The sequence below is a fragment of the Homo sapiens genome, chromosome 12 (assembly GCF_000001405.40).
Source record: "Homo sapiens chromosome 12, GRCh38.p14 Primary Assembly".
Classification (NCBI taxonomy): domain Eukaryota; kingdom Metazoa; phylum Chordata; class Mammalia; order Primates; family Hominidae; genus Homo; species Homo sapiens.
This window is the reverse complement of record NC_000012.12, coordinates 52192342-52203303: the sequence shown is the minus strand read 5'-3', so window position 1 is coordinate 52203303 and position 10962 is coordinate 52192342. Positions and strand designations below refer to the sequence as shown.

The window sequence follows — 10962 nt, the reverse complement described above, 5'->3', positions numbered from 1 at the left end:
CACAGAGGAGGAAGTAGTCATGCTCAAACACTCACTCCCACAAGGACATCTAGAGACACACACATCCACACGTGGGGGCATGAGTGGGTGTGTCTGCACACTCACATGCTCACATGTCCACACACATTCACATGCAGGGTGTGAGGAGGCATGTGCTCCCACGTGTTCACACAGTCACATACAGGAGAACAAGCAGACAGCCGCATTTGCACACTCACATGTTCACACAGAGGAATGAGTGAGCACAGGGTGCAGGGACACATGTTCACACACAGTCACAACAAATTCACACACACACACAGGCATACTCGCATGCTCACGTTTCCAGATTCACACGCAGGGGCTGAGAGACACATTGCCCAGAAAGGGCCACAGTGTCTGGGACACCCCCCACCCACACACACCACAGGGGCAGGGCCCTCGGATCCTCCCCACACCAGGCACCCAGACACCCCCTACCCTGAGATAGCCACACAGAACCTCAGGGGCCCCCCGAGGAGAGACCCAAAGACACCCCCTCATCCCACCCCTCCCCCTGCATCAAATGATGCAGCAGCCAGGAAGGAAAAACCCAGTGAAGCGTGGAGGCAGCCAGGCTGCGTGGACCTTGGCAGAGGCGGTGTCAGCTGTGCCGCCGCAGTGCTCTCCACACTCCCAGCTCTGACAGCCAGCACAGACCTGCCCCCAACATGAACCCCCAAAAAATGGGCTGCTGTAGGCGTGTTTCTCTGCTCGCCTCCCTGTGGGAGAGGGACAGGAAGCGGGAGGCTGGAGTTGGAGGAGCGGGGGAGTAGAGCAACTGAAACCCAGCCCCTGGCCCTGGCTTGAATCTTCTCTCCCGTCCTCACCAGGCTTTCCCCCCGCCAAGCTATGGAGCCGCCCTTCAGAAAACACAGGCAGGGAGTGGGACAAGAGGCAGAGAAAGTGGCAGGCACAGCCACGCCAGGCCAAGAGAGCAGGCTGGAAACCAGCCCTCCACTCTGGGTTCAACATCTAGCTCCACCACTTATCAGCTGGTAGTATTAGCTTCCTGCGGCTGCTGTAACAGATTTCCAGAATTTAGGGGCTCCACGCAACACAACTCTATTTCTTCATTTAAATAAATCTTACTGGCTGGGTGTGGTGGCTCATGCCTCTAATCCCAGCACTTTGGGAGGCTGAGGTGGGAGGATCACTCGAGGTCAGCAGTTCAAGACCAGCCTGGGCAATATGGTGAAACTCCATCTCTACTAAAAATACAAAACTTAGCCAGGTGTGGTGGCACGTGCCTGTAGTCCCAGCTGCTCAGGAGGCTGAGACATGAGAATCACTTGAACCCAGGAGGCGGAGGCTGCAGTGAGCCGAGATCTTACCACTGTACTCCAGCCTGGGTGACAGAGCAAGACCCTGTCTCTAAATAAATAAATAAATCTTACTTACCACTGCAGCTCTGGAGGCCAGAAGTTCAAAACAGTCTCACTGGCTGAAATCAAGGTGTGGGGCTGAGGTCCCCCTGGAGACTCCACAGGGGAACCCATTTTCCTGCCTTTTCCAGCTTCCCACATCTGCCCACATTCCTGGGCTCCCTTCCATCTCCCTCACACCACCTCAGTCTCCTGCCTCCCTCGTCCAGTTTAAAGGACCCTAGTGATGACACTGGGCCCACACAGACAATCAGGATAATCTCTCCACCACGAGATCCTTAATCCCATCTGCAAAGTCCCTTCTGCCATGTAAGGGAACATGTTCATGGGTTCTGGGGATTAGGATGTGGACAGCTTTGGGAGGCTGTTATTCTGCTCACACTGAGACAAGTCGTTTAAGCTCTCAGAGCCTCAGCATCTTCAACTGTAAACTGAAAATATCTCCTCCACATGGGTGGCCATGGGATTTGGAAAGCCACGTGAGTCCTCAAAGCACTGCGCCTCTCACCCAGGCCACCTCAGTCAGCAGCACTGCCCTCTCCAGCTGGGGCTTCCTGAGGATGGCTTTGAAGCAGTGTGCGGCAGGAGGGGGACCGCTGAGGCCAGTGAAGGGGTCCGTGTGGACTTGGGCAGGGGTCGACAGTTGGGGTAAGGACTGGGGGGAGCGGGTGTCCGTGGGGGTTCCCTGGATCTGGGCGGCAATGAGCCTGTGGTGAGGGGAGACACCCTGAGCTGAGGACACAGCTGCAGTGACCCAGCACTCAGTCTCCTGAAATGGGCTGCTGTAGGCGTGTTTCTCTGCCCGCCTCCCTATGCGAGAGGGATAGGAAGCGGGAGGCTGGAGTTGGAGGAGGAGGAGGAGGAGGGCAACTGAAACCCAGCCCCTGGCCCTAGGTTGAATCTTCTCTCCCGTCCTCACCAGGATTTCCCCCCGCCCCAAGCTGTGGAGACACCCTTCAGAAAACACAGTGGGTGCTGCTCCTGTTTATTCCTGCCCTCCCCTCCCTCATCTACTGCCATCTGTTTGCAGGGCCCCAAGGCCAATGGGCAGGCAGAGGCCCCAGACCAGCCTGCTATTACCCTGGTAAGTGCAGACTGCAGAATGATGACCCAGGCAGATAAACCCCACATAGAGGAATCGCCTGCTGGAAAACAGTCATTAGCCCCAGATCCCTCCTGGCACTGTTTGCCCTCTCAAAAGGTAGCCAGTGGCCGCTCAGAGAGGAGCTGGGGTCATTGGATTCCCACCAGCCGGCCCTGCTCCATCCAGCAGCCCAGGCCGGGGCCCAGTCCTGAGCCCATCTACGCCCACTGGCCCAGCCCGCCCACTCCCTCTGCTCCTCACCTCATCTCCATTGGCTGCCCTTCCCCAGCCCAGCCCAACCCCAGCTCTTATCCCACCCAACAGAGGGACTGCAAGGCCGGGGAGTGGCAGGGCTTCTGGAGATGCTTATTTGGAAGTCCAACTAGCTCCTCTGAGCTTCAGCTGCTGCCTTTATCTGGCCCGATAATAGACCGAAACCATATTCTGCTCCCTGTTAAGCTATCTGTGAGCCTGCCAGGGTGGTAGCGGCACTCTGGGTGCTGAAGGATGAGGCGGAAAATCTGGGCGCAAGCCCCATTCCTCTGCAAAATGGGAGTGCAGCAGCCCCATGCCTGCCTGCTGGTGCTGAGGAGATGGCATTGGTCACATGAGCAAGCACTTGCTGTTATCCTAGGCACTGATGCTTCCTCCCTGAGACATGGTGGGCAAGGCTGGCACCCGACTGGCCTTTCACAGACCAACTGCCTTGGAGACTCCCCACCTCTCACTGCATCAAGGAATCCCCAACAGGTGCTGAAGGAAGCATATAGAAGGATGGGGAGGGGAAAACACAGCTTCCTGCACATCATAGATCTCTGATAAATAGGTGCTGAATGCTTAACGTTCAGCCACGGAGCTCCCACTATATGCCAGGCACCGTGCTCAGTGCTGGAAATACCACACACCACAATAGATGAAGCTGCCCTTCTCCAGATATGTCCTGAGCCTCCTAGACAGCCACTGAGGACCCCTGGATGGACAGAACATCCCTGCATGGCAGGCAGACTGCAGGCTGGTGGCTCCCCGCCCTATGTCAGTTGGAGCAGTGCTCAGCGCCACCCTGGGCCACTGCCACCCTGGCAGGCCCACAGATCACTCAACAGGGAGCAGACTATGGTTTCGGTCTATTATCGGGCCAGATAAAGGCAGCAGCTGAAGCTCAGGGGAGCTAGTTGGGCTTACAAATAAGTGTCTCCAGATGCCCTGCCACTCCCTAGCCTTGCCGTCCCTCTTTGTTCTTTCCTGAAAGCAGCCCCAGGGAGGAAGATACCTGCTAAATAGCTGTGTACAGTGTCAGGAGTGGAAGGGTGAGGAGGCTGCAACCAGCCGGCAGCTGGCCCGGAGGCAGGGCTGGATGGAAAGAGACTCCAGAGCTCAGAAAGTGCTGGTCTCAGGGGCAGCAGGGATCCAGAATTGTGGGGTGAACACCCATCACAACCCTGCCTCGCTTATCTTCATATTTGCCCCACTGCTCAGCACAGGGACAGGCACCCAGTAGAGACTCAGAAATGCCCAAATAGCAGAGGTAGGTAAGATTGGCCCGTTTCTGCAGTGACCAGGATTCCAGGCATGGGAGACTAGGAGGAGGAGAAACAGGGTCCTCAGCCCTGTCTAATGGGGGAGGGAGAGAAGAGACCCTTGCCTAAAGAGAGCCATAGAGAAAGTGCTAATAATAGAGGGCGTGCTGTGTCTCAATTGAACAACTGTTTACTGCACACCTGCCATGTGCCGGTGGCAACAGAACAGTGAACAACACAGCCCCTGCCGTGGTGGAGGTTGCTTTTGAGAGCTGTCTTGCTCAAAGGAGAAGTGAGGGGGCTTCCTGCAGGGAGAAGTGGCTGAGGGCCACTGTGAAGCCCAGAGACAGAGGGAGGGAGGGGAGTGGCTGAGTGTTTGTCTGAGGCCTAAGAAATGAGGGCTGTAGGAACCTCCCTCATGGGTCACAGCCAGGCACAGAGGGTGGCATGGAGAGTGGGCATGACAGGACCCCTGTTTCTGGGACCTGGCCTCTCCTCCTGGGAGAGGACACAGATGCAAGGACATGGTGTTTCCTGGGGAACCAAGGCAACCTGTGCTGCCCCTCGGCCCTCCCTGCAAGGCATTGAGCAGCCGGAGGAAGTAGGGCTCTCCTGCCAGTTTCCCTTTGTGCAATCCTCCTTCCTGCTCCTCTCCACCCAGAAGCAGGCCTGGCAGCCTTGCCAAAATGCCACTGGCATGAACCAAGCACCCACACAGTGGGGCAGGGTCTAGGGTTCCCCAGGAAGGCTGGGCCTACCCTACACCTGGACCAGAGGAAAGCTGCCCACCCCAACATGCTCCATCCCTGTGTCCCACCTCAAAGGAAAGGGACCTGGGGGCCTAAGGCTTGGTCCCGCTCCGCCCCACATACATGTCTGACAAAATTCTAGGACTGGTGGGGCCTCTGCCATCTTGGGGAGGCTTCCTTCTGCTTCTTTGCTTTGCAAGAGGGACCCTAATCTTTTCACCCCTCCAAGGCATTTGGCCATGACCAGACGCTGGGCCAGAAGCTGAAGGAGCAGGATGCCAGGCCTAGGAGTCAAATGGCGGTGGTCTGCCTGACTCCTCCAGGCAGAGGACCCAGTATCAACCTGTGACTCATCCCAGTGAGCCCAGCACAGCCTAGCAAGGGTGGGGCAGGGGCCCCAAAGCTAGCTGCCAGAGATGGGGGGACACCCATGCTGACTTCCTTCCACATCCTGCCTGGGCTCTGTCACTCTACAGCATCCCAAAGCTCTTGCGGTTGTACCCTGTGTTGAAATCCAGTGTAACATGGGCGCTGGGAGGAAGGGTGGCCTTTTACTCACTCCAGAAAGAAATAGTTATCAAGCACCTATGATGTGTGCCAGGCACTATGCCAGGCATTGGGACACTAAAGAAACAAAGCCACCACACAGTCCGTGTGCTCACAGAGCTGTGCAGGGGAGGCAGACACAAACACGTAAACACCAACAATAAATAATTACAAATTGGGCTGAGTGCTGTGAAGACAGGAAAGTGTAATTAGCCCATGCCTACCTCTCCCTGGCGCCAGAGGCCTGGCCTCATTACAGAACACCCGCACCTGCCCAACCTCCCAGCATGCTGCTTGGCCAGGGACCGTGGATCGCACTGGAAGCCAAGTACCCAGCAGAGCAAGAGGCTCCACTACAGTTTGAGGAACGTTTGTTGAACTAAACTGGAAAAAAAAAAAAAGATTTGTAGTACAACCTAATTTTACAGGCCGTTGAGGCCCAGAGAGGCCAAGCATTTGGCTCCAAACCACACAGCTGGTGAGTGGCAGAGCCCCAGACCAGAAACCAGGTCTCCTAAGTCCAGGTTCAGTGCTCCTGCCACATCCCAGGCTGCCCGCTGGACAGTCTTGAACCCTTTCACAGCCTCCAGGAATCTGCAGCCTCCTGACCCATCTCAGATGCCTGCTTTGCAGGTCAGCACTGTCCGATAGGACCATATGTGATGATGGAATTGTTCTATATCTGTGCTGTTCAACCCAATCACCTGACACCACTCAGCAGGTGCAGGGAAAGGTGGCCAGTGTGGTGGGGTCGGCGGGTGGGAAAATGGGCAGGGCTGTGGAGAGAAAAAAGGCATAGTGGAGGTGAGACCCAGCAAGGAAGAAGGATTGGGTTTGGCATTCCGAGGAATCTTCCATCCCCAAAGCCACGGGGAGCCCCTGAAGGATAGTATGCACAGTAAAGACATGCCTTGATGAAAGCCTCTGTGGGACTCCAAGGGCGTCACTGCTCCTCTGAGCTCTACAGTACCTCCAACACTCCAGTAACACCAGCTGGAGTAGTCATTCATTCATTCAGTTGTCATTCTCTGTCAAAACCCCACACAAATAATTTCTCACATCCGCAGCACATAATGCTGGCCCAGCCTGAAATACCCTTCCCCTCCCCTGCCTGGACAGCTCTTGCTCTTCCTTCAGGCCTGAGCTCATGGTCCCTATCTGGGAAGGCATCGTAGACACCGTCACCTGGGTCATTGCCTCTTCCATGTCTCCATAGCCTGCCTGGCATGTGGAGGAGGCTTAATTTCTCTATCCTTGCTGTTAGTTCTCCTTTCTTGACCCTTCCCACACCTACACTTACGTCCCCAACCCTCAGCTCTGGGACCCTCAGAAATTCTGACCACAGGCCAGGCACCTGTAATCCTGGAACTTTGGGAGGCCGAGGCGGGCAGATTGCTTGAGGTCAGGAGTTCAAGACCAGCCTGGTCAACATGGTGAAACCCTGTCTCTACCAAAAAATACAAAAGTTAGCCAGTCATGGTGGTGCGCACCAGTAATCCCAGCTACTCGGGAAGCTGAAGCGGGAGAATCGCTTGAACCTGGGAGGCAGAGGTTGCAGTGAGCCGAGATCGCACCACTGCACTCAAGCCTGGGTGGCAGAGTAAAATACTGTTACAAAAAAAGGGGGGGCCAGGTGCGGTGGCTCACGCCTGTAATCCCAGCACTTTGGGAGGCCAAAGCAGGCGGATCATGAGGTCGAGATCAAGAACATCTGGTCAACCTGGTGAAACTCCATCTCTACTAAAAACAAAACAAAACAAAATTTAACTGGGCATGGTGGCATGTGCCTGTAGTCCCAGCTACTCGGGAGGCTGAGACAGGAGAATTGCTTGAACCCAGAAGGCAGAGGTTGCAGTGAGCTGAGATCACGCCACTGCGCTCTAGCCTGGGCGACAGGGCAATACTCCATCTCAGAAAAAAAAAGAACTTCTGTCTCAAAAAAAAAAAAAAAAAAGAACTTCTAACCACATAGCCACAGTCTGCCAAAGACCCTCAGCCCCCAGCCTAGGTCCTCCCACTCCCAGGACTTGGACCCTGGATCAGCCCTGCTCAAAGGGAATATCCAGAGAATAAAGGCCAGGAGTTGCTAACTTCATAAGGGAGATGGCACTGACCCAGATCACGACCATAGGTGGGGACATGCATTTAGGGGAGAAGATGAAAGATTGACAGAAACTTGAGCAGGCTCATGTGGGAAGGCTTCTTGGAGGAGTGGCCCTCCTTCCCATCATGTCCTGCAGTGATACAAAGATTTTCCCCTGTAGATTCCAAACCCTTTGCTGGCTCCCCTGCCCAGAGAGTCCCTGTCTGTCTCCCCAAGAGTCAAATCCTGCCCCAGAGCCTGACCCAGGCTAGGATGTGCCCATTGGAACATTCACCCAACAACTATGTCTTGCCATCCAGCATTTCCAGAGACCTGATGCTCCACAGGCCAGGAGGCCTCAGGCCAAATGGGGAGCAAGGCAAAGAGGAGGCGCTGAAACTATGACACAGGGATGCCATTCTCATAAGGACATCCAACTGGGCTGCAAGGACACAAACCCTGTTCCCTCTGCCCCCACCCAGGGCCGAAAGGAGGAGCTCCAGGCCAGGACTCTGAGTGGGCAGGTGACTCCGAGAGGGACAGACAGACAGTAAGATAAGTGAGAGAGAGCATGACAATCGAAAACACAGAGGAGGCGGATGAGAATGCGAAGGAGACAGACCACAGGTTGGGTGGGAGTGACGTGGAGAAGGAAATGGGAGGAGGAGAGAGAAAAAACAAGAAAACTCCCCCTCACTTCAAGACCAGTTCCAGGAGGCTCTGGCAGCCCAGCCTAAGCCTCTTCCCCATTCCTCGCCTCTAGCCAGCCCAGCCCCTCCTCTGCTCTTTCTCTGCCTCCTGGATCATCAGGATTGTGTCCTGTTACCAGTGACAGGGGACTGGGGTAAAGGGGATAGACTCAAGAGGCAGGAAAGGGAGATGTAGATTCCTGTCCCTGGACCATGTAAGGACTAGAAGAGCAGGGTTCCGGAGTCCCAGAGGGTACAGGATGTCCAGGTGTTATTTCTAGCGGGGGTTGTCCAAGCCCATCCTCACCTGAAGCCCCAAGCAGGTTTGTTTATTTGTACATCCAGGAGGGAGTTGGAGACTGCTTGGGTACCCAAACATCCTCAGAGAGACGGAAACCTTCCCCCACTTTCCATCTCCCACCTCCCAACCCCTGCCAGGCCTCCTGCTTCCCTGGGTGGGGGTCCAAGCCCCCAGGTGGTTCAGGCTCTGTACCAAGGCCAGGAGAGGGTGATGTCAGGCCCTCTGGCCTAGCTGGGACAGAGAGCCCTGCTCAGAGAGTGCAGCCTGGACCAGGACCCCCAGGGATGCCAGTTCCAGAGTAAAGGGAGTAGAGCTCCTCACTCCAACTGTCCAGGTTCCCATCCATCATAACTGGGTGACCTTAGACTAGGCACTCAAGCCCTCTGAGCTTCCTCCTCTGTCAATTGGAGTGATGAGAATTAAAGCATCCACCTCAAGTGGTGGTTGTCAGGAGGATTGAAGATGAGCTGGGGGAGGAAAGGAGACGGGGTGAGGAGGGGAGAGGGAGGAGGTAGGGCTGGGCTGTTTGTGGAGTTTTGTTTATTTGGGGCTTTTTTGTGGCTGTTCCTGTTTGGCAGCCACAGCAGTGACAGTCAAAGACATCTCTACTGACTGCACCCAAGGAAGACTGTCCGGCCAGAAAGGAAGCAACAGGCAAGCCCCACATACCTCCCCCAGCCCAGAGCCCCAGGCTAGCATGCCTTCCATTGCTCCAGGGAGGTGAAGACATCCGAAAGCAAAGCCCCCTGGTGTGGGGCCCAAGAGGCAAGCCCTGCAAAGCCAGCCTAGGAGCCAGGGACTTGGCAATTAACCAAGACCTGTCAACTCTCAGGAGCTGACTGAGGCCAAAGGAAGGAAGCAAGAAATAGATTTAAGTCATGCACAGGCACTTGGGAGAAAAAAGCGTTCGGCTCCGAGAGAATTAGGTGGCGGGGCTGCCCTAAACTGCACCCCAGACAGTAAGAAGGCAGCTTCCTTCTCTAACCCGCTACCCTTTCTAGGGGTCCTAAAACTTAGAGGCTCAGATTAAAGAGCTCCTCACCCCAACTGTCCAGGTTCCCATCCATCATAATCGTGTGGCCTTAGACTAGACACTCCAGCCCCCTGAGCCTCCTCCTCTGTCATTTGGAGTGATGAGAATTAAAGTGTCCACCTCAAGTGGTGGTTGTCAGGATTGAGGAGCTAATTCCTGCAAAGCATCTGGGACATATCTGATGTATCAGCTGTTATTCTGGCCTTGGCAGAGCCCAGACGCCACTGCTGCCCCCTCCCTTCCCCACAGAGTACACAGGGGTGACGGGTGGGGGGCAAGGTGCTGTGCTTGACCACATGCCATTCGGATGCCAGGCCAGAGTGAGGACGGTGGGAGGCCAAGGTGGCCCCACACGTGGGTGTTGAGTGGGGAGCGTGGCGCACGTCAGTCACCCACCAGTGCCTCGCTACCCTACCCGGCACCAGATCCTGGGATCAGGCTTAGGATGGACCCGTGGCCTCTAGACAGGGTCCTGTGCCCTTGTGAGCCAGAAGTGCCTAGTGTGTGAAAAAGATGTCTGCCCTGGAGGTGGAGGCCCAGGGTCCGCGATGTGACTGGCAAATGGTTCTCCCCGCTCAGGGGCTCTCTCTTCCTCTGGGCCCAGAGGGGGCTGCTACCCCTTCTATCTCTGACCATCTGTGACTCTCCCAGACACACTCCTCTCTCTGCTCTGGCCCCTGCCACCCAGAGCAGGATTGAGCCAGGTCCAGGAAAGACATGCAGATCCAGCCACCAGGGCCAGAACATCAGGACCACCAGGCCAGGAAAGGAGACGCAGGGCTGGGAGAGCTGGTAACCCCCTGGGGTGGGAGAGTGGGGTCTCAGGAACTGTGGAAAGGTAGGCATTGCCCTGGGCCAGGTGGGCCTCTGCCGCCCTGTCAGAGGCTCTGTGGGGGCAAAATGGGGTCTTTTCTATTTCTACTTCACAGATGGTGTAAAAGAGGTCAAAGGAGGCAGAGAAGAGAAAGAAGAGTGGGGAGGAAAGAGTGTGAGGAAGGCAGGGATTCTCATTGCCCCAGAGCAGAGCTGCATTCAGCCATACCCATCGCCCCTGCTAGACTCAGCACCCGGAAGGCAGTACCACTGATTGAGGCCAACTTTGTCCCCTGTCCTCTACCAAGTGCTTTGTACATGCTACCTCCTGTGAGGTGGGTGTTTTCATCCCCACTTTACAAATGAAGACAAAAGTCAAGTAACGTGCCTGAGGTCACATGAGTGGTGAGCAGTCCAGCTGAGTCTTGAACCAGGTCTCACATTTCCAATGCTGAGAGCTCCTTGGCCTTGACCGTCTATGTCCTCCCAGCCTCTGAGACAGTAGGGTGTACATAGTAGGTCCTCAATCAATGCTAGTTAAAGTGAAGGAAGGAAGGAAGGGAGAGGGGGTAGAAGGAAGGGGGAAGATAAGCCAGGGAGACTCTTTGGCAGCCAGAAAATAAATAATAAGTGCTGTTTTCCAGTGCCAGGCTGGCACGGTGCCCAGGATAGCTGCCCTACACTCGGGAGCTCAAGGCCTATGCTTGACTCATCTTTTCCAGAAGTATGTGAGCCCAGATACGT

At 55.5% G+C, this 10962-nt stretch overlaps 1 annotated feature.

The window, feature by feature from the left end:
• Positions 4600 to 5100: an enhancer, noted in NCBI's record as "H3K4me1 hESC enhancer chr12:52591988-52592488 (GRCh37/hg19 assembly coordinates)". NCBI's record gives its function as "activates a minimal SCP1, AML or CMV promoter by ChIP-STARR-seq in primed H9 embryonic stem cells {active_cell/tissue: H9 hESC(primed)}" and the evidence as "EXISTENCE:reporter gene assay evidence [ECO:0000049][PMID:30033119]".